This window comes from Homo sapiens, chromosome 12, assembly GCF_000001405.40.
Source record: "Homo sapiens chromosome 12, GRCh38.p14 Primary Assembly".
In the NCBI taxonomy this organism is placed as follows: Eukaryota; Metazoa; Chordata; class Mammalia; order Primates; family Hominidae; genus Homo; species Homo sapiens.
Window position 1 is genome coordinate 70,481,934 of NC_000012.12, and position 27,103 is coordinate 70,509,036.

The 27,103-nt window shown below is 40.3% G+C and overlaps 1 long non-coding RNA gene across 2 annotated transcripts in view; it reads left to right on the forward strand.

Moving 5' to 3' along the window:
* Positions 1-27,103, forward strand: part of PTPRB-AS1 (PTPRB antisense RNA 1) — a 103,372-nt gene that overhangs the window by 13,855 nt on the left and 62,414 nt on the right. For both annotated transcript variants that reach the window (XR_001749196.2, XR_007063360.1), the window contains exon 2: positions 25,962-26,068. This is a non-coding gene — a long non-coding RNA (PTPRB antisense RNA 1). The remainder of the gene's footprint in view (positions 1-25,961; positions 26,069-27,103) is intronic.

The window sequence follows — 27,103 nt, forward strand, 5'->3', positions numbered from 1 at the left end:
TCCTGTGCTTTTCTCCTTGTGCTATACTGCCTAGCAAAGTGCTTGCACGGCCTTGAGTGCTGGGGCCCTGAGAAGCTGCTCACAGAAGACCAGTCCAGGGACATACCAGTGGATCTGGGAAGGCTACCTAGTACATTGCCGGTGGTTCCCTTGTTGAGTTCTCCTCATTACTCCATTTCAATATATCATGTATCTTTTGCTGGACCTCTGACTGATGTATCAATGTTCTCTTAAATGGAAGTGAGGAGTGAGCATTTCATCCCACCTTCCTTGCTCATGGCTGGGTTGAGGGATAGAGTGGCAGTGGCACCTTTGAGACCCTGGGCTTCCCATCCTTATTCTTGCTCTTCATGACTTGGGTAATGCTTAATTTCTTGTCTTGCATATTCTGAACAATGTTGAAGAAACCTGTTTCTCCTCTCCTTTTCTCCAATGGCTCAGCAATCATTTGGGCCTGACTTTTATATACTCAAGTTATTAGAATCTCTTGAGTTGGGAGCTAAATGTTAGGGCCCATTTCTTCCACCTTATTTGTGGAGTGCTTCTTTTTATGTCTCCCATTCTGAGTTAACATGCTAGTTCTACATGGGATAATCATTGTCCCTTTGCTCTAATAATTTATTATCATTCTAAGAGTTGTCTAGCAGCATATTCCTGGGCCCCAGAGGGAACATATGAGATTGAATTTAGAGTAGGTGAATTTAGAGTAGACACATTTAGTCTAAAATGCTGAGAGGGATGTCAACATCAGGGCTAATGGACACATGAGCTTTTTCTTGGCCAGAGTTGGATAGGATGAAGAAAGTGATTTGCAGCACATGTGAATCTGAAAAACTAAATTGAAAGCTGGAAGCCTAAAATTAAATTGAATTTAAGCTGTAGCACTTAAGCACTTAATCTGTCTTTTCTCTACCCCATGAAACACAAGGAAGTGGTTAAGAACATAAGTTCTAGAATTATATTGTCCGTATTCAAAGTAAGCCTCTGGCATTTGGTAGCTATGTGACAGAGAAAAAAGAGAACAGCTCAGAGCAGTCTGAACTGTAAGGTATGCAAAATTTATCAGGCATAGAAAGACATGAGTATGAGACTTCAGTCATGCACCCAGCACCCATGCCCAGGGGCAATTGTTTAAAGACATTTTGTTCTTCTTTTCTTCCCTGTAGTTTCCTGACTAGCAAACTCACCAGTTATTTTCATGTTCCTGAGATTTTTGATGCAAAGGAGAATGTATAGCCAATCAATAGCTTATGTTACTTTAATGTACATTTATTACCAAAATGCCAGGGGTTTGGTCTAGACGAAACCTGCTGCTCACTGCACAGAATGCCAATCACTGAGATAAGTATTGCCAGGGAAGAAGGCTTTAATTGTGTGCTATAGCTGTAGAGAATGAGAGAGAAAGTCTCAAATCCATCTTCCCAACTGATTAAAATTGGGGGGTTTATATAGTGCGGAAGGGAGGCAAACAGGAATTAAGGAGGGGTAAGGAAATATTCATGATGGATGAGGTGTCTGGCATCTCATTGTTTGGATGTGATGATATGATGAATTGCAGTTCCTTGCTTGAGGTTTGGTTTTCCTGAAAAAGAAACTCATGGGACAAATATAAGTTTCAAGTTTTAAGACCAGGGAGGGTCAATTTCTATGTATTTTATTTTTAAAAAACAACATAAATATTAGTTTTGTGGGAAAAATGTGCCAGTTTCAAATTCCTGGTAAACAACTTAGAAACTGCCTCTTCTTTTTTTCCTTCAAAAACCCACTTGTAACTGCTGTAAAATCAGAGCATATATTAAGGGCAGCTTGAATCTATCTTCCTGGGTTACAGTTCTTGAAGTTGGCTCAAAGAGACTCTCAACTTACATTAATTTTGCCTCAGCATTTTCCTTTCTGTCAACATTATCTGGAGAAAATGGACAGGACTCACAGTGACCTCCTCCTTACCACCTGGTGTTCCCTCTCAGGCTCAGCACTCAGTATCAGCATGAACCTAACATGTTCCTCTAACTCCAGAGGTTTGACTGGATGCAAAAAGGTGAGTGCTCCTAGATCCAGACCTTCCTTTTATATTTAGTTGAGGTCTAGATTTTATTTAGGTTGGTTTTCAAACCATTTCTTTCCCTTAGGAGTGAGGGCTTCAGTCTCAGTCTTTGGACAGGAGATTCAGGTAAAGATCTCTGCAGAGAACTGCCTTCTCTGCCTCTGCCTCAGGACAAGAGGTTTGGGGTCACAGTTAGACAAGGAGGTCTGCAGAGGACTTCTACTTTCTCTGCCTCTGACTTATAAAAGATTTGGGTTATAGTATCGGCATCTGGCACCAGTGATTTTACTTCTTTTGGTCTAAAATTACAAAGCATGCTTTTAAACTTGCAGCTGCTTTATATTGTTTGTAATTCAGACTTTATATTTTCATTTTTGACCAATTTCTGCTAGTTTCAGACCAAAAGATGCATAAGGGTGGGTTCTGTTGCCATTAAGAGAAAAGGCAATTGTTCCCTCTGACCCATTTGGGTGCTCCAGGTGACTAGAGACTTTGCAGAGGTGTCAGGACATTTCCCAGGATGTGAAGTGGCCTCATAAGTCATTCCTCAGCAGGAGAATATTTTAGGGACTCTTGCTCAATCTAAAGGGTATAAATAAGGAACTGGTTACTTCTATACCTTGAGCATCCTACTAACACCTGGCAGTTAGAGGTGGTCCGAGACACATAAAAGAGAGACTCATGACACTTGGGTGACACCTTGTGTAGTGACACTCATAAGCAGCATACTTTGACCCAAAACACATTTCTGCCCTTGGTCACTTTTAAAAAATTCCTAAATAATGGGAAATCAAGCTTTAAAATCTGAACACTTTTTAAAAATGAAATCTTCTTTAGAAACATCAGCTGGTTTTATGTACAAAACTTAATGTGGTGTCCTCTTGTAAATGTCTAGGAAAATGAGCCCATATAACCTGGGATAGTCATAAGTAGCAGTGGTTAAATGGGTCTTCTTTGAAATGCCTAAAATGTTTCATTTGTGCACATAATTGGAAAACTTGGTCTTAGAACTGGACAAATTAAATAGAAAACCTATTTTCTGTTTGTCTTGGCTGAAGTCTGATAAAAAGAGATTTGAAAAGCTTTTTTTTTAAAAAGAGCTCTGTGGTCAGAAATCACCTTAATCAAAAGCTGATATTCATGCTATAATTTAAAAAAAGCCTTTTTGCTTTTTCTCTTTTAGGTCTTATTTCTGGGAATGTTTTTCAGCCAACTGAAGCCTCTCTTTAAATACGTTTGGTCCCTCTATTTGCTTCCTTTCCTGTTGGCATGATTTTGCTTAGAAAAATGTGAAACTTTAGCCTTTGAGAAAGCTTAAAATCTCCCCAAATTGGTTCCTTTAAAACTTGATCTTCCATTTCTTTTTCTTTTTCGTTTTTTTTTTTCCCCCTGAGTCTTGCTCTATCACAAGGCTGGAGTGCAGTGGCATGATCTTGGCTCACTGCATCCTCTGCCTCCCGGGTTCAAGTGATTCTCCTGCCTCAGCCTCCTGAGTAGCTGGGACTACAGGTGCATGCCACCATGCCCAGCTAATTTTTGTATTTTTAGTAGAGACAGGGTTTCACTATGTTGGCCAGGATGATCTCGATCTCTTGACCTCGTGATCCACCTGCCTTGGCCTCCCAAAGATCTTCCATTTCTTCCCACTTGGCTTCTCCTTTTCCTTGCCATCTTCAGTACTACATAGGAGGTTTCTAGCAACCTCAAGACCCCTTGAGGAACACACAAAAAAAGCATCATTCATAACCCCTTTTTGGGAGTCTCGAGTCATGGGCAATTCTGTTAAAGTGAGGGCATTAGAAAAAAAAAAGTCATGGGCAGGCTTCTCTCAGATCTACAGTCCTGCTCTCTTTTGCACTGATTTCTTAATCTCTTTGGCTTGTGTGTTTCCAGAGATTGCTTTGTACTTTGAGAAGGAACTTGACCTTTGAGTGCGATGGCTGGCAAGTCACTAGTGAGATTTATAGTTTTGAAAGTGGCCTGTTACAGTAGGTAGCTAGTCATACATGAGCAGGGCAGGAGAGGGATTCCCATCACCAGGAATCACAGGTGACCATCAGGTGGTGGTCAGGAAGTTGCTAACTGTCTCTCTAAAATAATAATTGGTCATAGCCAACACCACGGAAAAGCAGTCTCCCAATAGATAGAAAATACCTGAAACTGGTGATCAGCAGCTTCCTGATAAAATCTCAGTAGTTGGGCAAGTGGGCTGAAGCATGTACATTAAGAGGCAAAATGGCAGAATTTAACTGGTACGTGACCTCTCAGGGACATTTGAGCAGTAAGGGAAGAACACCTCAAGTTAGCATGCATATAACTCCAGTAAACGCACTGTGCATGCTCCCCTCCCAAGTGCTAGCAGGCCACTGTGCATGTGGACAGCCACCCCAAGAGAAAAATCAGGGTAGAAGGTAATGCAAGACCCTAGAAGTAGGCCAGCAAATAAACCCCCATGTCAAACAGCACACTTGATCTCTCAAGTCACCCACCTGGCCGTCTTCCAAGTATACTTTACTTCCTTTCTTTCCTGCTGTAAAGCTTATTAATAAACCTTAACTCCTCCTCTAAAACTTGCCTCAGTTTCTCCTTCTGCATCATGCCCCTGACTCAAATTCTTCTGAGGAGGCAAGAATTGAGGTTGTTGCAGACCCATACAGCTTTGCTGCTGCTAACAGGCCAACTATGGTTGCAATGGGTGGTTATTACTGCAGAAAGCTATTTATTTGCACTTGTAGATAAGAAAAGTGGTTTGAACAATTCGAGGCTGTGGAAATACTTGCCAAAAAGAGAGAAGACTCTTATAGGGGTTGAGTTAATTACAGAGTGGACTGGTTGGTATTGGATTTCTAACCAGCCTTGGGGGAATACCCTTGTAGTGAGGAGCACTGCAGAACTGTTGCATGGGCAAGTCCCATGGCATTTCCCTATTTTGGGGACCCAGAATTCAATGTAAATGTGAAATCCTTAATTTTTAAAGATCTAGATGCTCTGCCTTCCGGTTGTGTCTGCTTCTCATATATTAGATATTAAACTCTAAAAACAGCAAATTTTTTTTTGTGCTATTCATTAAATGGCTCCACCCTGAAGCCAGTGATTCAATTAAGAAACAAGCTAAGCTGAAAAAACCAACTATCAAACTAAATCAGTCTCCAAAATACAACTTTCTACACTGGGATAGCTGGCAAGCTATATGCAGAAGAATGAAACTGGACCACTACATTTCACCATGTACAAAAATTAACTAAAGATGAATTAAAGATTTAAATGTAAGATCCTCAAACTATAAGAATCCTAGAAGAAAACCTAGGAAATACCATTCTGTACATTGGCCTTGGGAAAGAATTTATGACTGAGGCTGCAAAAACAGTTGCAATGAAAACAAAAATTGACAGATGGGAGCTAATTAAACTAAAAAGCTTCTGCATAGCAAAAGAAACTATTAACAGAGTAAACAGACAACTAACAGAATGGGAGAAACTATTTGCAAACTATGCATTCTGCAAAGATTTAATATCCATAAGCTATAAGAAACATAAGCAAATAAGTCTATTAAAAAGTGGGCAAGAGACACGAACAGACACTTCTCAAAATGACATACTAGCGGCCAACAAATATATGAAAAAATGCTCCACATCACTAATCATCAGAGAAATGCAAATCAAAACCACAGTGAGATACCATGCCACACCAGTCAGAATGGCTATTAGTGAAAAGTCAAAAAACAACAGATGTTGGCCAAGCTCTGGCAAAAAGAGAATGCTTATAAACTGTTGGTGGGAATGTAAATTAGTTCAGTTCCTGTGGAAAGCAGTTTGGAGGTTTCTCAAAGAACTTAAAACAGAACTACCATTTGATTCAGGAATCCCATTACTGGATATATATCCAAAAGAAAATACATCATTCTGTTACCAGAAGGGGGTCCCAGTCCAGACCCCAAAAGAGGGTTCTTGGATCTCATACAAGAAAGAAAGAATTCAGGGTGAGTCCATAGAATAAAGTGAAAGCAAATTTATTAAGAAAGTAAAGGAGTAAAAGAATAGCTACTTAATAGGCAGAGCAGCCTTGAGAGCTGCTGGTTGCCCATATTTATGATTAGCTCTTGATTATATGCTAAACAAGGGGTGGATTATCCATACCTCGCCTTTTTAGACCATATTGGGTAACTTCCTGACATTGCCATGGTATTTGTAAACTGTCATGGTGCTGGTGGGAGTGTAGCAGTGAGGACAACCAGAGGTCACTCTGATCACCATCTTGGTTTTGGTGGATTTTGGCCAGCTACTTTCCTGCAACCTGTTTTATCAGCAAAGTCTTTATGACCTGTATCTTGAGCTGACCTCCTGTCTTATTCTGTGACTTAGAGTGCCTAACCATCTGGGAGTGTAGCCCAGTAGATTTCAGCCTCATTTATCTCAGCTCCTATTTAAGATGGAGTTTCTCTGGTTCCAATGCCTCTAACGTTTACCCCCTCCCTTTTATAAGAGAACCGTTAATCCTAAGAGTTGCAGAAGGGCAAAGATCCATCACCTATAACTTCTTCATGCTGAATAGGGGTGATGATATTCCTGCCTAACTATTAGGGTCTCCTGCATTCAGGGGAGAGAGGAGCTCTGTCAGAAAACATCAGTATGCTGAGGACCATTCATAACTCCAAGTGCTAACAAAAAGTGATATCTGGAAGATTAGTATGTATTTAATTTAAGAAAACATTGAGTAAGCTTATCCTGTATTCCAACACAAAGAGTACAACAGCAAGACGTTCCACAACAGTAAAGCAAAATAACCCCATAGCAGCTAGCAACCTGCTATGGGGTTGCTAGCTGATTCCAATACATGCCCAGAATTAGAATATTGATCCAGATTTTTATGTTACCAATCCCTCTTGTTTATTCTGAGTAACAGCCAGAGATCACTGATTGGTTCACAGGAATAAGCAGGGTTGGTTTAATTGCAGAAGAAAACTAGAATCTAATACCAAGTATGATACAGTTTTTGAAACAATTTTTTTCTCTCTAGTCTCCCATTTTCACTAAAGACAAATCATGGTAAGACCAATTTGATTTATTATAGTTCGCCTGATCATTTGTATAAAGTGCAGCAAGAATAATTTTTTTTTTTACATAGGCTCTTTTAAAATTGGCTTTGGTGGAACTCTGTTCCATAAGGAATCTCATATAAGATGTTTTTGAAGCTGATCCCAGCCATGGGTTTGTACCCTCAAATACCTATAACTTGGGTAAATTTCTTTCCTCTTGAGACTCCAAGATAACTTGGGGCTCCTGGACCTGTCAGAAAGTGACATTCTTTACTTACTGCAGGTTAGAAACCTGCACAGGGACTGCATAGACAAGGTATGAGGCCAGTTTTCCCAAGGGGCTTTCATTGGCTTTACAAATCAAATTTGAGTCCTTAAATAAAAGTATGCCGTTCCAGTCAAAGCTTTGATAAAATAACCAATTTACTCAATTGTGTCCTGTTACGAATGAAAGCATTCTTATTGCACTTGTGTAAATAACTATATGCCATAAGTTAAGAATATGCACAAATAGTTTCCAAATTTTGGAGAAATCATATAGAGAGGAACAAATATGCCCCTAATTTTGTTCACAGGAGTATACTTTACTCAATTGTTAAAAGCTGTAAATAGCTCAGAAGAACAGTTTAACTCTGAAAAACAGAACAAAGGATCAGCAATGTTTTTAAACAAAGTCAAAAAGATTATTTCAGTCTTCTATTAGTTCAGTCCATGCAGTTAACTCCTGTTTTGCTATTCATGAACATTTCAGATCTCCATGAGAGTCCTGAAAAGTTTTCCTCTATTCTAATGTCACAATTTCCAAAGTTGTCAGAAACCTGCATTCAAGAACACCTGTTGGAGTCATTGTTTATTATAAACCACCTTCTAAAGAGGACCAAAAAAGACAATTGTCTATGGAAGAGATTACAAAAAGTCTTAGGACAGCTGCTATTAAAGCCATAATTGACAAGGAAATTTTGCTTCTGTGGCATACAACATTTTATATAACTCAATTATTAATAACATACACTAAGCCGTATCAGAATTGTAGGAGATTCTTATAATTTTGGAACACATACCTATAACATATTTATACAAATACAGCCCAAAGAAAGCCAAATACCACTTCATATTTGACAATGCTTCCTATATGATTTTATACTAAATAAACCAGATTTCATCTTTACATTAGTGTGTTATTAATGTCAAATCCAATTCTTAGTAAAACCTTATAGACAAATTGATCCAATTTTAATATCTGACTGTATGGTAAGATTTTTATTAACTTTTTATAACCCTTTACAATTTTTGTGAAAGAGATCAGTGCTCTGAGAGAAAACCTGTTGTATTTTAATTCCAATGTTCAATATATGGAAAAACTGAATAATACCTCTCTAACTTTAGCCAATGTGTTCACACATAGTTTTTTTTTAACCATTTTTTTTTTTTTTACAAACCTTCCACAACTTGCTTAAACCTTCAGCTATACTTTATCTAACTTAAAACAATCCTTTAACCTTTTAATCTAGGCCAAAAAAAAAAAAAAAAAAAAAGGCATGGAAGACATTCCCATGCCTTCTTATAATCTTTTACCAAAAAACACATTTCTCTTTCCTTGCACACCTTGCATGTAAAACTGTCTTTGTTTCCCAAAAATTACTTAAGTCACATAAACTAAAAGGCATTACAGTTTTTACTTTTCTGCCAAATATTTGATTTGAGCACTTACTAATTTCGAACCAATTAAAGCTTTTATATATCCCACACAAAACATATATAAATACGCAGAAGATCCTACAGTTACAAGGTTTTTCATTCACCAGTTTTTTTTTTTTTAATCTAAGTTCTGTGGTGCATGTGCAGAATGTGCAGGTTTGTTACATAGGTATATATGTGCCATGGTGGTTTGTTGCACCCATCAACCCATTATCTACATTAGGTATTTCTCCTAATGCTATCCCTCCCTTAGCTCCCCACCCCCTGAACAGGCCCAGGTGTGTGACATTCCCCTCCTTGTGTCCATGTGTTCTCATTGTTCAGCTCCCACTTATGAATGAGAACATGTGGTGTTTGGTTTTCTGTTCTTGTGTTAGTTTGCTGAGAATGATTGTTTCCAGCTTCATTCATGTTCCCTGCAAAGGACATGAAGTCATCCCTTTTTATGGCTGCATAGTATTCCATGGTGTATAGGTGCCACATTTTCTTTATCCAGTCTATCATTGATGGGCATTTGGGTTGGTTCCAAGTCTTTGCTATTGTGAATAGTGCTGCAATAAACATACATGTGCATGTGTCTTTATAGTAGCATGATTTCTAATCCTTTGGGTATGTATCCAGTAATGGGATTCCTGGGTCAAATGGTATTTCTAGTTCTAGATCCTTGAGAAATCACCACGCTGTCTTCCACAAAGGTTGAACTAATTTACACTCCCACCAACAGTGTAAAAGTGTTCCTATTTCTCCACATCCTCTCCAGCATCTGTTATTTCCTGAATTTTTAATGATCCCCTTTCTAACTGGTGTGAGATGGTATCTCATTGTGGTTTTGATGTGCATTTCTCTGATGACCAGTGATGATGAGCTTTTTGTCGTATGTTTGTTGGCTGCGTAAATGTCTTCTTTTGAGAAGTGTCTGTTCATATCCTTCACCCACTTTTTGATGGGGTTGTTTTTTTCTTATAAATGTGTTTAAGTTCTTTGTAGATTCTGGGTATTAGCCCTTTGTTAGATGGATAAATTACAAAAATTTTCTCTCATTTTGTAGGTTGCCTGTTCACTCTGATGATAGTTTCTTTTGCTGTGCAGAAGTTTTTTTTGTTTGTTTTTTGTTTTTGTTTTTTTTTGAGATGGAGTCTCGCTCTGTCACACAGGCTGGAGTGCAGTGGCATGATCTCGGCTCACTGCAAGCTCTGCCTCCTGGGTTCACGCCATTCTCCTGCCTCAGCCTCGTGAGTAGCTGGGACTACAGGTGCCCACCACCATGCCCGGCTGATTTTTTTTAATGTATTTTCAGTGGAGATGGGGTTTCACCATGTTAGCCAGGATGGTCCTGATCTCCTGACCTCATGATCCACCCACCCGGCCTCCCAAAGTGCTGGGATTACAGGCGTGAGCCACCATGCCCAGCCAGAAGTTCTTTAGTTTGATTAGATGTCATTTGTCAATTTTCGCTTTTGTTGCCATTGCTTTTGCTGTTTTAGTCATGAAGTCTTTGCCCATGCCTATGTCCTGAATATTATTGCCTAGGTTTTCTTCTAGAATTTTTATGGTTTTGTGTTTTACATTTAAGTCTTTAATCCATCTTGAGTTAATTTTTGTATAAGGTGTAAGGAAGGGGTCCAGTCTCAGTTTTCTGCATATAGTTGGCCAGTTTTCTCAGCCCCATTTATTAAATAGGGAATCCATTCCCCATTGCTTGTTTTTATCAGGTTTGTCGAAGATCAGATGGTTGTAGATGTGTGGTGTTATTTCTGAGGTCTCTCTTCTGATCCATTGGTCTATATATCTGTTTTGGTACCAGTGCCATGCTATTTTGGTTACTGGAGCCTTGTATAGCTTGAAGTCAGGTAGTGTGATGCCTCCAGCTTTGTTTTTTGTTTTGTTTTGTTTTCTGTTTTTTGTTTTTTTTTTGCTTAGGGTTGTTTCGGTTATGCAGGCCCTTTTTTGGTTCCATATCAAATTTAAAGTAGTTTTTTTTCTAAATCTGCGAAAAATGTCAATGGTAGTTTGATGGGAATAGCATTGAATCTATAAATTATTTTGGGTATTATGACCATTTTCACAATATCAGTTCTTCTTATCATGAGCATGGAATGTGTTTCCACTTGTTTGTGTCCTGTCTTATTTCCTTGAGCAGTGATGTGTAGTTCTCCTTGAAGAGGTCCTTCACATCCTTGTAAATTGTATTCCTAGGTATTTTATTCTCTTTGTAGCAATTGTGAATGGGTGTTCATTCATTATTTGTCTCCCTGTTTGTCTGTTATTGGTGTATAGGAATGCCTGTGATTTTTGCACATTGATTTTTTATCCTGAGACTTTTCTCAAGTTGCTTATCAGCTTCAGGAGATTTTGGGCTGAGTTGATGGGGTTTTCTAAATATAGAATCATGTCATCTGCAAACAGCCACTTTGACTTCCTCTTTTCCTATTTGAATACCCTTTATTTCTTTCTCTTGCCTGTTTGCCCTGGTCAGAACTTTCAATACTATGTTGAACAGGAGTGGTGAGAGAGGGTATCCTTGTCTTGTGCCGGTTTTCAAAGGGAATGCTTTTAGTTCTTGCCTATTCAGTACAATATTGGCTATGGGTTTGCCATAAATAACTCTTATTATTTTGAGATATGTTCTCAAATTAATACCTAGTTCATTGAGAGTTTTTAGTATGAAGGGCTGTTGAATTTTGTTGAAGGCCTTTTCTGCATCTATTGAGATAATCATGTCTGGTTTTTGTCATTGGTTCTGTTTATGTGATGGATTATGTTTATTGATTTGCATATATTGAACCAGCCTTGCATCCCAGGGATGAATCCCACTTGATAGTGGTGGATAAGCTTTTTGATGTGCTGCTGGATTCGGTTTGCCAGTATTTTATTGAGATTTTCGTGTCGATGTTCATCAGGGATATTGGCCTGAAATTTTCTTTTTTTGTTGTGTCTCTACCAGGTTTTGGTATCAGGATGATGGCTGGCCTCATAAAATGAGTTAGGAAGGATTCCCTCTTTTTCTATTGATTGGAATAGTTTCAGAAGGAATGGTACCAGATCCTCTTCGTACTTCTGGTAGAATTCGGCTGTGAATCTGTCTGGTCCTGGACTTTTTTTGGTTGGTAGGCTATTAATTACTGCCTTAATTTCAGAACTTGTTATTGGTCTATTCAGGGATTCGACTTCTTCCTGATTTAGACTTGGGAGGGTGTATGTGTCCAGGAATTTATCCATTTTTTTCTAGATTTTCTAGTTTATTTGCGTAGAGGTGTTTATAGTATTCTCTGATGGTAGTTTGTATTTCTGTGGAATTGGTGGTAATATCCCCTTTATCATTTTTTATTGCATCCATTTGATTCTTCTCTCTTTTCTTCTTTATTAGTCTGGCTAGTGGTCTATTTTGTTGATCTTTTCAATACCAGCTCCTGGATTCATTGATTTTTTTGAAGGCGTTTTCGTGTCTCTATCTCCTTCAGTTCTGCCCTGATCTTAGTAATTTCTTGTCTTCTACTAGCTTTTGAGTTTGTTTGCTCTTGCTTCTCTAGTTCTTTTAATTGTGATGTTAGGTTGTCAATTTTAGATCTTTCCTGCTTTCTCTTGTGGGCATTTATTGCTATAAGTTTCCATCTAAACACTGCTTTAAATGTGTCCCAGAGATTCTGGTATGTTGTTTTTGTTCTCATTGGTTTCAAAGATCATCTTTGTTTCATTGTGTCTTTGTTGTCATTGGTTTCAAAGGACATCTTTAATTCTGCCTTAATTTTGTTATATACCCAGTAGTCACTCAGGAGCAGGTTGTTTAGTTTCCATGTAGTTATGTGGTTTTGAGTGAGTTTCTTAATCCTGAGTTCTAATTTGATTGCACTGTGGTCTGAGAGACAGTTCATCATGATTTCCATTCTTTTGCATTTGCTGAGGAGTGTTTTACTTAGAATTATGTGGTCAATTTTAGAATAAGTCTGATGTTGTGGTGAGAAGAGTGTATATTCTGTTTATTTGGGGCGGGGAGTTCTGTAGATGTCTATTAGTTCTGCTTGGTCCAGAGCTAAGTTTGAGTCCTGAATATCCTTGTCAATTTTCTGTCTCTTGGATCTAATATTGACAGTGGGGTGTTAAAGTCTCCCACTATTATTGTGTGGGAGTCTAAGTCTCTTTGTAGGTCTCTAAGAACTTGCTTTATGAATCTGGTTGCTCCTGTACTGGGTGCATATATATTTAGGATAGTTAGCTCTTCTTGTTGCATTGATCCCTTTACCATTATGTAATGCCCTTCTTTGTCTCTTTTGATCTTTGTTGGTTTAAAGCCTGTTTTATCAGAGACTAGGATTGCAACCCTGTTTTTTTTTTTTTTTTTTTTTTTTTGCTTCCCATTTGCTTGGTAAATATTTCTCCATTCCTTTATTTTGAGTCTATGTGCGTCTTTGCACGTGAGATGGGTTTCCTGAATACACTACATTGATGGGTCTTGACTTTTCATCCAGTTTGCCAGTCTGTGTCTTCTAATTGCGGCATTTAGCCCATTTACATTTAAGGTTAATATTGTTATGTGTAAATTTGATCCTGTGATTATGATGCTAGCTGGTTATTTTGCCCGTTAGTTAATGCAGTTTCTTCACAGTGTCAATGGCCTTTACAATTTGGTACGTTTTTGCAGTGGCTGGTACTGGTTGTTCCTTTGCATGTTTAGTGCTTCCTTCAGGAGCTCTTGTACGGCAGGCCTGGTGGTCTCTTAGCATTTGCTTGTCTGTAAAGGATTTTATTTCTCCTTTGCTTATGAAGTTTAGTTTGGCTGGATGTGAAATTCTGGGTAGAAAATTATTTTCTTTAAGAATGTTAAATATTGGCCCCCACTGTTTTCTGGCTCATAGGGTTTCTGCAGAGAGATCCGCTGTTAGTCTGATGGGCTTCCCTTGTGGGTAACCTGACCTTTCTCTCTGGCTGCTCTTAACCTTTTTTCCTTTATTTCAACTTTGGTGAATCTGATGATTATGTGTCTTGGGGTTACCCTTCTCTAGGAGTGTCTTTGTGGTGTTCTCTGTATTTCCCGAATTTGAATTTTGGCCTGTCTTGCTAGGTTGGGGAAGTTCTCCTGGATAATATCCTGAAGAGTGTTTTCCAACTTGCTTCCATTCTCCCCATCACTTTTCAGGTACACCAAGCAAATGTAGATTTGGTCTTTTCACATAGTCCCATATTTCTTGGAGGCTTTGTTCTTTCCTTTTCATTCTTTTTTCTCTAATCTTGTTTTCACATTTTATTTCATTAATTTGATCTTCAGTCGCTGATATCCTTTCTTCCACTTGATTGATTTGGCTATTGACACTTGTGTATACTTCACGAAGTTCTCATGCTGTGTTTTTCAGCTCTATCAAGTCATTTATTCTCTTCTCCAAACTGGTTATTCTAGTTAGCAATTTATTTAATCTTTTTTCAAGGTTCTTAGCTTCCTTGCATTGGGTTAGAACATGCTCCTTTAGCTCAGAGGAGTTTGTTATTACCCACCTTCTGAAGCCTACTTCTGTCAATTCATCAAACTCATTCTCCATCCAGTTTTGTTCCCTTGCTGGCGAGGAGTTGTGATCCTATGAAGGAGAAGAGACATTCTGGTTTTGGGAATTTTCAGTCTTTTTGCACTGGTTTCTCCCCATCTTCATGGATTTATCTACCTTTGGTCTTTGATGTTGGTGACCTTTGGATGGGGTCTCTGAGTGGACATCCTTCTGTTGATGTTGATGTTATTCCTTTCTGTTTGTTAGTTTTCCTTCTAACAGTCTGGCCCCTCTGCTGCAGGTTTGCTGCAGTTTGCTGGAGGTCCACTCCAGACTCTGTTTGCCTGGGTATCACTAGCGGAGGCTGCAGAACAACAAAGATTGCTGCCTGTTCCTTCCTCTGCAAGCTTCTTCCCAGAGGGACACCCACCAGCTGCCAGCCGGAGCTCTTTTGTATGAGGTGTCTGTTGGCCCCCACTGGGAGGTGTCTCCCAGTCAGGCAATGTGGGGGTCAGGGACCCGCTTGGAGGAGGCAGTCTGACTCTTAGCAGAGCTCAAACGCTGTGCTGGGAGATCCACTGCTCTCTTAAGAGCCATCAGGCAGGAGTGTTTAAGTTTACTGAAGTTGTGCCCACAGCCGCCCCTTCCCCCAGGTGCTCTGTCTCAGGGAGATTGGGGTTTTATCTCTAAGCCCCTGACTGGGACTGCTGCCTTTTTTTCAGAGATGCCTTGCCCAGAGAGGGGGAATCTAAAGAGGCAGTCTTTCCACAGCAGTGTTGCTCCACCCAGTTCGAACTTCCCGGTGGCTTTGTTTACACTGTGAGGGTAAAACTGCCTACTCAAGTCTCAGAATTGTGGACGCTCTTCCCCCCACCAAGTTTGAGTGTCCCGGCTTGCCTTCTGACTGCTGTGCTGGCAGTGAGAATTTCAAGCCAGTGGATCTGAGCTTCTTGGGCTCCGTGGGGGTGGGACCTTCCAAGCCAACCACTTAGCTCCCTGGCTTCAGCCCCCTTTCCAGGGGAGTGAACGGTTTTGTCTCACTGGCATTCCAAGCGCCACTGGGGTATGAAAAAAAACTCCCGCAGCTAGCTTGGTGTCTGCCCAAACAACTGCTCAGTTTTGTGCTTAAAACCCAGGGCCCTGGTGGCATAGGCACTGGAGGGAATCTCCTGGTTTGCAGGTTGCAAAGACCATGGGGAAAGCACAGTATCTAGGCCAGAGTGCACTGTTCACAGTCCCTCATGGCTTCCCTTGGCTAGGGCAGGGAATTCCTTGACTCCTTGCACTTCCTGGGTGAGGCAATACCCCACCCTGCTTTGGCTCACCCTCCATGGGCTGCACCCACTGTCCAACCAGCCCCAGTAAGATGAACTGGGTACCTCAGTTGGAAATGCAGAAATCACCTGCCTTCTGCGTCGATCTCGCTGGGAGCTATAGACTGGAGCTGTTCCTACTCAATTATTTTGCCAGCGATCTCATTCACCGGTTTTTAAGTTGTCTTTAAAGCATGCAGTTTCTAAGGCCTAATAAGCAGACACAACTGGAAGGCAAAACAGATCTCCAGAAATTAAGGACTCCATTTTTATATCAGATCCTTGATCCCAAAAAGATTGAATTGGCCCTTCTCCAAAGGATGTTGCCTACCTAGTTATTACACACCACATTTTTCTTATTATGTGTAGTAATTTCTGATACCCTCAAAAGTCAAAAACATCAGCTAATGTAATGCAAAACAGAACATAGCCTTAGATTTTGAGAAGGATCTATCCACTTTTAATTCCTTGTATTCCATGAGGAAAACATTTATTTTTCCCGGAAACTGGGTCTGTGGTTCCACCTCTGTTTTTCCTAAGGAGTCCCAAGCTATCAGAGCTTGGATATCAACTTTTAGTTAAACTGACTTTTAATCATAGCACTCTAAAAAAAAAATCCTTTTAAATTTTTTATTACCCCACTTTAGCTAGGCCAAACAGTTGATATTTCTGGTTTTTGAACTGCAACAAAAATAACCTCACACATGCTCTGAAAAGGAAATTCAAGACAGTTTGCGGAAAAGAAGAGAATCAAAAGATGGCAAAGGTCACCCAAATATCAGTCAGATATGCTCGTCCCCTAAGGTAGGGGTTGAACTCTGAACCCAGGCCACCACTGTGAAAAGAGAAAGTACGGCCACATGGTTATAAGGTCAAGCTCCCAAGGACAAACAAGACAAGAGAGAAACCTCATCCAGTTTTTTTTTTTTTTTTCCTTTTCAGGACCCTTCAGCAAAGTTTATAACTGACCAATTTGCTGGGCCATCTTTAACAGCAGGCTTATGAGGTCCTAGGCCCGCATTCTATCCTACGGTACCCCTCTTTATGACAGAACAAAACAGAAAGACCCACAAAGCACATCAGATTCACTACAGCTTAAGACTAGCCTCACAAATCCTTTTTTCCATTAATCAAAACTTTACAGAGGAGATAAATAGTGATTTTTTAAAACCATTCATTCAACTGGTTTGCACAGAGAGAGAGAGAAAGAGAGGAAAGCATTGCCTGATGTAAGGTGGGGAAGGTGAAGAGCTCAGGGAGGCTAGAGAAAGATGAGATAGAGACAGAGAGAGAGAGAGAGAAGCATTGCCTGATGTAAGATGGGGAAGGTGAAGAGTTCAGGGAAGCCAGAGAAAGACTCACCCATTGCTCAAAAGTTCAGGCAACTGCTTGTTGGTCAGAGAGGGATCTTTTCCAGCAGTCTCATCAGCTGTCAAATTTCCTTTTTTTGGGAAGGAAAAAGCTTCCTATGTCCCATGGTCCTATATGTGCCTAATTCTGTCACCCATAGCTGTCAGCAAAGAGTGCAAGGCAGATTACTTCAAACAGAATAGTTAATATCCCATAGTGCCAAACTCGTTCTTAGGCAACACGGACTTTACCTGGAGGGGCCTCTAATCCCCTAAATCTTAGGAAGGACTCTAACCTTCCTAAGTTGTGCCTCAAACCCATGTTTGGTCAAGCATCCTTTTCTTTTATTGAGAGGAGTCTTTAACCCACACAGTCTTAGGAGAGATTCTAACTCCTCTATGTTGGGCCTCTAACCCAATCCCATCCTTTACCTGGTTAAATGCACCCCACTTACCCAAAGTCAGCCAATTGGTGTTGCATGCAGATGATTTTCCTTTGGATAGGGGGTCTCCTCAGTATGGTCCCTTCAGGGTTCACCATGAAGATGTTACTGGACCCTATCACTTACCCAAAGTTAGCCTTTGGGTCAAGGGTTTCCTCATTCTCATCCTTTCCATGGTTGCCAGAAAGATGTTACCACAAAAGGGTCCCAATCCAGATTCCAAGAGAGGTTTCTTGGATCTCATACAAGAAAGAATTCAGGGTGAGTCCATCGAGTATAGTGAAAGCATGTTTTATTTTATTTTATTTTATTTTATTTTATTTTGTTTATGAGACAGAGTCTCACTCCATCACCCGTGCTGGAGTGCAGTGTCACAGTCTCTGCTCACTGCAACCTCCACCTCCAGGGTTTAAGCGATTCTCCTGCCTCAGCCTCCCAAGTAGCTGGGATTACAGGTACCTGCCACCATGACTGGCTAATTTTTGTATTTTGTTTTTGAGATGAAGTCTCACTCTGTCACCCAAGCTGGAGCGCAGTGGCACGATCTCGGCTCACTGCAACCTCCACCTCCCGGGTTCAAGCAGTTCTCCTGCCTCTGCCTCCTAAGTAGCAGGGACTACGGGCATGTACCACCATGCCCAGCTAATTTTTGTATTTTTTTTAGTAGAGATGGGGTTTCACAATGTTGGCCAGACTGGTCTCGAGCTCCTGAACTTGTGATCCAGCCACCTTGGCCTCCCAAAGTGTTGGGATTACAGGCGTGAGCCACCACGCCCGGCCTAATTTTTGTATTTTTAGTAGAGACGGGTTCCACCATGTTGGCCAGGCTGGTCTCGAACTCCTGACCTCAGGTGATCCACCCTCCTTGGCCTTCCAAAGTGCTGGGATTACAGGCATGAGCCACCACACCGAAAGCATGTTTATTAAGAAAGTAGAGGAGAGCAATTACTAAGTATGGCTACTCCATTAGGCAGTGCAGCCCTGAGGGCTGCTAGTTGCCCATATTTATTTTTCTTGATTATATGCTAAACAAGAGGTGGATTATTCATGCCTCCCCTTTTTAGACCATGTAGGGTAACTTCCTGACGTTATGTCATTTATAACCTGTCATGGTGCTGGTGGGACTGCAGCATTGAGGATGACAAGAGGTCATTTTTGTCGCCATCTTGGTTTTGGCCAGCTTCTTTACTGCAACTTGTTTATCAGCAAAGTCTTTATGACCTGTATCTTGTGCTGATCTCCTATCTCATTCTGTGACCTAGAATGCATAATTGTCTGGAAATGTAGGTCAGTAGGTTTCAGCCTCATTTTACCCAGCTACTAAGATGGAGTTGCTCTGGTTACAACACCTCTGACAATTTCACCAAAGAGACACATACCCTCTTATGTTTATCACAGCATAGTTCTCAATAGCAAAGATGTGGAATCGATCTAGGTGCCCATCAACAGTGGATTGATGTGGAAATGTACATATACATATACACCATGGAATACTGGGCAGCCATAAAACAGAACAAAATCACGTTCTGTAGACCCTGTATCAAACAACAACATCAACAACAACAAACCAGACACTGGGGATTATTAGATGGGGGAGGGAGAGAGGGGAGTCAAGGGTTGAAAAACTAACTTTGGGTACTGTGCTCACTACCTGAGAGACTGGATCATTTGTACCCCAAACCTGAACATCAAGCAATACACTCATGTAACAAACCTGCAAATGTATCCCCTGAATCTAAAATAAAAGTTGAAATTATAAAGAGAAAAAAATACTACATTTTCTTTTTTTTAATACAACTTTATGAAATTTAGCTGGCTAGTTTGAGACTCTTTGAAATAAATTTACATCGATAAAAGAAATATTTATTTGTAAAGGTATCTTCTTTTCTGAACCTAAACCCCTTGAAACATTTAGTGCTTTGTTTGTTTTACTTTAAGTTTGGGATATATGTGCAGAACATGCAGGTTTGTTACATAGCTACATGTGCCATGGTGGTTTGCTGCACCTATTGACCCATCCTCCAAGTCCCCTTCCCTTGCTCCCCATCCCCCAACAGGACCTGGTGTGTGTTGTTCTCCTCCCTGTGTCCATGTGTTCTCATTATTCAACTCCCATGTATGAGTGAGAACATGCTTTGTTTGGTTTTCTGTTCCTGTGTTAGTTTGCTAAGGATGATGGCTTCCATCTTCATCGATGTCCCTGCAAAGGACATGATCTCATTCCTTTTTATGGCTGCATACTATTCATGATGTATATGTACCACATTTTCTTTATCCAGTCTATCATTGATTGGCATTTGGGTTGGTTCCATGTCTTTGCTATTGTAACTAGTGCTGCAATAAATATACGTGTGCATGTGTCTTCATAGAAGAATGATTTATATTCCTTTGGGTATATACTCAGTAATGGGGTTGCTGGGTCAATTGGTATTTCTGATCCTAGATCCCTGAGGAATCGCCATATTGTCTTCCACGATGATTGAGCTGATTTATATTTCCATCAACAGTGTAAAATGTTCCAATTTATCCACAGCCTCACCAGCACCTATTGTTTCCTGACTTTTTTTGTGTGTGTGTGAGATGGAGTCTCGCTCTTTCACCCAGGCTGAAGTGCAGTGGCGCGATCTCGGCTCACTGCAAGCTCCGCCTCCTGAGTTCACGCCATTCTCCTGCCTCAGCCTCCCAAGTAGCTGGGACTACATGTGCCCGCCACCGCGCCCAGCTAATTTTTTGTATTTTTAGTAGAGCCGGGGTTTCACCGTGTTAGCCAGGATGGTCTTGATCTCCTGACCTCATGATCCACCCGCCTGGGCCTCCCAAAGTGCTGGGATTACAGGCATGAGCCACCACGCCCGGCCTCCTGGCTTTTTAATGATTACCATTCAGACTCATGTGAGATAGTATCTCATGGTGGTTTTGATTTGCATTTCTCTAATGATTAGTGATGCGGGGCTTTTTTTTTTTTTAATATGTTCATTGGCCACATAAATGTCTTCTTTTGAGAAGTGTCTGTTCATATCCTTTCCCCACTTTTCGATGGGGTTGTTTGTTTTTTTCTTGTAAATTTATTTATGTTCCTTGTAAATTCTGGATATTAGACCTTTGTCAGGTGGGTAGATTGCAAAAACGTTCTCCCATTCTGTAGGTTGCCTGTTCACTCTGATGCTAGTTTCTTTTGCTGTGCAGAAGCTCTTTAGGTTAATTAGATCCAATTTCTCAATTTTGGCTTTTGTTACAATTGCTTTTGGCGTTTTCATCTTGAAGTCTTTGCCCTGCCTATGCCCTGAGTGTTATTGCCTAGGTTTTCTTCTAGGGTTTTTATGGTTTTGGGTTTTACATGTAAGTCTGTAGTCCATCTTGAGTTAATTTTTGTATTAGGTGTAAGGAAGGGGTCTAGTTTTATTTTTCTGCATATGGCTAGCCAGTTTTCCCAGCACCATTTATTGAATAGAAGATCCTTTCCTCATTGCTTGTTTTTGTCAGGTTTGTCAAAGACCAGATGGTTGTGTAGATGTGTGGTGTTATTTCTAAGGTCTCTATTCTGTTCCATTGGTCTATATGTCTGTTTTGGCACCAGTACCATGCTGTTTTGGTCACCATACCCTTATAGTATATTTTGAGGTCAGGTAGCATGATGCCAGCTTTGTTTTTTTGCTTAAGATTTTCTTGGCTATATGGGGTCTTTTTGGTTCCATATGAAATTTAAAATAGTTTTTTCTAAATCTGTAAAGAATGTCAATGGTAGCTTGATGGGAATAGCATTGAATCTGTAAATTATTTTGGGCAGTATGACCATTTTCACGATATCGATTTTTCCTATCCATGAGCATGGAATGTTTTTCCATTTGTTTGTATCCTCTCTTATTTCCTTGAGCAGTGGTTTGTAGTTCTCCTTGAAGAGGTCCTTCACATTCCTTGTTAGTTGTATTCCTATGTATTTCATTCTCTTTGTTGCAGTTGTGAGTGGGAGTTCATTTATGATTTGGCTTATAGCTCTTTTGTTGTTGGTGTAAAAAAATGCTTGTGAATTTTGCACATTGATTTTGTATCCTGAGACTTTGCTGAAGTTAACAGCTTAAGGAGTTTTTGGGCCAAGATGTTGGGGTTTTCTAAATATAGAATCATGTTGTCTGCAAACAGAGACAATTTGACTTTCTCTTTTCCTATTTGAATACCCTTTATTTCTTTCTCTTGCCTGATTGCCCTGGCCAGAACTTCCAATACTATGTTGACTATGAGTGGTGAGAGCGGGCATCCTTGTATTGTACCAGTTTTCAAAGCCATTGCTTCCAGCTTTTCCCCATTCAATATGATATTGGCTGTGTGTTTTTCATAAATAGCTCTTATTATTTTGAGATATGTTCCATCAATACTTGGTTTATTGAGAGTTTTTAACATGAAGGGATGTTGAATTTTATCAAAGGTCTCTTCTGCATCTATTGAGATAATCATGTCGTTTTTTTCTTTGGTTCTGTTTATATGATGGATTATGTTCATTGATTTGTGTATGTTGAACCAGGCTTGCATCCCAGGGATGAAGCCAACTTGATTGTGGTGGATAAGTTTTTTGATTTGCTGCTGGATTTGGTTTGCCATTATTTTATTAAGGCTTTTCACATCGATTTTCTTACGGAACATTGGCGTGAAGTTTTCTTTTTTTTGTTGTGTCTCTGCCAGGTTTTGGTATCAGGATGATGCTAGCTTCATAAAATGAGTTAGGGAGGAGTCCCTCCTCTATTGTTTGGAACAGTTTCTAAAGGAATAGTACCAGTTCCTCTTTGTACCTCTAGTAGAATTTGGCTGTGAATCCATCTCTTTTTTTTTTTTGGTTGGTAGGCTGTTAATTACTGTCTCAATTTCAAAACTTGTTATTGGTCTGTTGAAGGATTCGACTTCTTCCTGGTTTAGTCTTTTTAGACCATGGTGGCATGGGAAACAGGACCCATTTAGTGAAGCACCTCATCCCTTGGTAGAGGAGGTGTGCTTTGCTGGGGGGAAACCCACTCATCTGGGCTGCCCGGATTCCTCAGAACTTCCAGGAGGAAAGGCTAAGTCTCCTGGTCTGCAGAGGTGTGGCCACCCCTCCTTCTAGGGGCTCAGGCCCATAGAGATCAGGGTTCTGTCCTTGAGCCTCTGGATGGAATTGTTGGAGTACCTGCAGGAACTCCCTCCCTGCAGGCCTCCCTGCAGGGAGGCCTTACCCAGTGAGGAAGGATGGGTCAGGGTCAGGCCTAAAGAGGGGCTCTGGCCACAGTCTGCCACAGCTGGTGTTTTGGGCTGTGGGGGAAACCTTGGGACCAAGCCGTTCAGTCTCCCTTGCTCTGGCAGTGGAAAAGCACGGCCTGCAGCTATAGAGATGGCTGCCGTCCTTCCCCTGCCCAGGAGCTTAGCGTTTTAGGCAGTTAGCGCTGGCTGCTGACCCTCACGCAAGGAGCTCAAATGGCTTAGACAGCAGGCAGCTGCAGCTGTGGTACTGGTTTCCTCTCCCACGGGGAACTCAGCAGGCTTAAGCAGATTCTATCTGAGAGGCTGTTGAGAATCTGCGCAGCTCTGGGGTTTGGACCCTAGGCCTTGGTGGCGTGGGTTCATGAGTGGGATTTTCTGACCACGGGTTGCACAGTTCTGTGGAAAAAGCACAGTTTCCCTGGCTAGGTAGCACGCTCAACTCACTGCCTCCCTTGGTTGGTGGGTGGGGGCTCCCCTGCCCCATGTGGCCCTCAGGTGGGCTGCAGCACCACACCGCTCTTCCTTTCTCTCCATGGATCATGCCAGCCACTTAGTGAGTTCTGATGAGAGAACCTGGATACCTTGGTTGCTGGTACAGGATTCATTAGTTATAATCATTCGTTTCAATGACAGCCTCCAATTGCTGCTGCTTCTAGTCAGCCATCTTGGCCCCAACCCCCCATTTAGTGGTTTTTAATGAGAAAGACAGTGGCTTGAAGTTTACATAAGAAACCTTACTTTTGTTTGAGATACTTTTCCTGGTAATCTTGTCTTAACTGAGCTTTTACCTATGTCCTTCATTATGTCAGCAAAAATGATATTTAGATCTAAGTTCTGTGCCTTTGAGATGTAAATTTTCTGCCTGTCACTTAAGAGTCGCATCCTTGGAGGTACACATTTACAGTTGCCTAGCTAACAGTTATTTAGGGCAATGGAACAGGTAACCAAGAGATTGATAGTCTAAAGACAAGAGAGAAACTATATGAAAACTGGCAAATGAAGAATCTTATAAAAGCTATATGGGTCAGGGACAGTGGCTTACACCTGTAATCCCAGTACTTTGGGAGGCTGAGGTGGGCAGATCACTTGAGGCCAGGAGTTCGAGACCAGACTGCCCAATATGGCGAAACCCCGCCTCTACTAAAAATAAAAAAATTAGCTGGGCATGGTAGTGCATGCCTGTAATCCCAGCTAGTCAAGAGGCTGAGGCATGAGAATCGCTTCAACCAGGAGCCTGGAGGTGGAAGTTGCAGTGAGCTGAGATTGCACCACTGCACTCCAGCTTGGGTGATAGAGCAAGACTATCTCAAAAAAAAAAAAAAAAAAAAAAAGCTAGATGATCTGCTTCTATCTGTATGTCTGTATGTTTATGTGTTTATGTATCTTATATGTATGTGATATTTAACTGCCAAAATATATATTTAAAAAGCTCTAATTAATTGCATAAAGAAAAAGTAGTACTGTTGGCTGGGCACAGTGACTCATGCCTGTAATCCCAGCACTTTAGAAGGCCAATGTGGGAAAGTTGCTTGAGATCAGGAGTTCAGGACCTGCCTGGGCAACAAGGTGGGACCCCATCTCTACAAAAAATAAAAAAATTAGCCTGGCATGGCAGTGCATGCCTGCGGTCCCAGCTACATGGGAAACTGAGGTGGGAGGATCACTTGAGCTAGGGAGGTCAAGGCTGCAGTAAGCTATGTTTGCTCCACTGCACTCCAGCCTGGGTGACAGAGCGAGACCCTGTCTCAAAAAGAAGAAGGGCCAGGCGCAGTGGCTCACGCCTGTAATCCCAGCACTTTGGGAGGCTGAGGCAGGCAGATCATGAGATCAGGAGATCGAGACCATCCTGGCTAACACGGTGAAACCCATCTCCACTAAAAACGCAAAAAATTAGACAGGCGTGGTGGTGGGCGACTGTAGTCCCAGCTACTCAGGAGGCTGAGGCAGGAGAATGGCGTGAACCCTGGAGGCAGAGCTTGCAGTTCGTTGAGATAGTGCCCCTGGGTGACAGAGTGAGACTCTGTCTCAAAAAAAAAAAAAAAAAAAAAAAGGGAGGAGGAGGAAGAATGAAGGAAGAGGAGGAAGGAGAAGAAAAAGAAGAAGAACAACAACTAACAACTTACATCAAATATTTTATCAGGAAAATAGAAAGTAACTCAAATGCCTTTTAGTTCACATGACTTGGGTATATCTTTGGCAAATAAGAGTAGTTTAATATTGTTAATGAAAATAGTTTTGTCTTCTGATCAACAAAATACCCACGTATTTAACTTTAGGGTTTTTGCTTAAGTGGTTACTGCCTAACATTTTCAAGTTGTCAAAATTATTAAGAAAGAAATAACTTGAGATGATGGCTACCTTTGTTTAATAGACAGTTCAAGCATAATTGTTAAAAATGAATGCATTAGATAAATGTAAATGGAATAAATGAACTTTTTATTGTTTCAAAAATATTTTCAGTAACCTAATCTTACAGTCGTGTTAAATTAAGTTAACAAATAATCATAAAATGTCTGAGTCATTTCTAGGTAAGTTAAAATACTGGAATATTAATTGTTAAATATAGGTTTGTTTACATACTTCAGCATCTTATTTTTATATAGTGTAGGAAAGCTAAATATATTTAGATCTGTTAATAAATAATCAAACATCTTTCTAAAAATTATGAAGTGATTTTTATTTACAAATGCTGATATAAAACAGTTGAAAATTATGTCTAGGTTCTTCACTAGAAATTAAGGCTATTAAGAGTTAAAATTGTAGTTAAACTACTAGATAGAAGAGAAACAATTCTGTATACAGAGTGTATAAGGAAAAGTAGGATCCATTTTTGATAAAGAATGTTATAAAGAAGGCATGAGAGAGTGGTTTTTGTTAAAGGAAAAGTAATTTTGTCCTGAAGTTTTTAAAGGTTAAGTTGAAGGGATTTTAAAAAATAATAGCTAAAACTGGATGAATATAGAAAGTTGGTGAAAGAAAGAGAATGGGAAAAATTGTAGGAGATTGTAAAAGGCTTACAGATATCTTATCTTGTGTGGCCAAAGCTGATTGAGATTGGATGAATCAGCATTTCCATTGTGCATACTACCCTCAGTCTTCCAGACTGGTGGAAGGAGGAAATGGAATAATAAAAACAACAATCGGTAAGGCTTACAGAAACATTTAGACTATTGAGGCCTACGGCTCTTTTATTTGCTTAACTTACATTCTACCCCATTTGGAAAACAACAGCTTTCTCCCTTTGAAATGGTAACAGATGCCCCATGCACCTAGCTGAAGGAGTCTATGAACCAGCTCTCCTATGGTATTCTTCATTATTGCCAAGGCCTTATAAGTGTCTCTCTAAAAATTCTAAATTAATTATGGATTCTTTTGACAGAAAGTTCCCAGGAGATGAAGACATTGAAACTGCCATCATAAAATTAATAAAAGGTTCAAGATTAGAATTATGGTATTGGCCTGGATTTTGTTAAGACAGAGACATAGGTAAATCATTAGATGTTTCTTATACTTATTTTCCTTTCTTTGACCTTTTCTTCCTCCATGTCTAATTCCTTATATATAGTCATTTTAATAAATTATAGTTACTAGTAATTAATTATCTTCCTATTCCTGCCCCATCAGGCATGCTGCCCACAAGATTAATGAACTTGTTTTTCTCTTAAAGAACAATTATCTTTAGGTCATGTAGGTCTCCTTGATGGCTTCCAGAAGTTGAACTGGTGAAGGGGCCAAGAAGCTTTGACCACTGGGGATCTCACTTCCTGCAAACCTTTCTGCTAAGCTCTAGGCATAGTTAAACAATAACCTGCCATTGTTCCCTAGCTTGCTTTTCTATAGTAACAGCATTCACAAGCACTATTATGAAACCTAAGACTGGTCTCTGAGATATTTTTTCATACTTTGCATCCAAATGGACCAGCTGACACCAACCAGACAAGTGACCTATGACCTCAACCTAAGAACTGACTCAGTGCGTGAAGTTAGTTTTGATACTCTATGATTTCATCTCCAACTACTCAGTAGCACACATTCCCTAGCACTCCCTGCCTGCCAAACCATCCTTAAAAATCCTAGCTTTTGAATTCTTGGGGAGGTGGATTTGAGAAGCATCTCCTTGAGTGTCTGTCTCACTCAGTTGCCTTATAATAATTAAATTCTTTCTCTGCCGCAACACTTGCTGGCTTAGTGTTTTGGCTTCTTCTGTGCAGTTAGCAGGAATCCAATTAGGTGATAACAACATCAAATATGGTATCCAATCTGGAGATTTTATTTATTGGAAAAATCCATAAAATAAATGAACCATATCCAGCAGCCCCACTTGAGTGAACATCTTCATTACCGAAGGTTTTCAATACCTTGCTCTTCATATCAGGATAGGAAATAAATGAAATATTTATTTGGTTCCCTTCAGTAATAGGAACCCTTTTTGGATCTGCATTTCAGTTGTTTTGTTAATAATTGTCCTATTTGCATCATACTTTTGATTCTGAAATTGATCATGCTTTGTATTTCTAGATG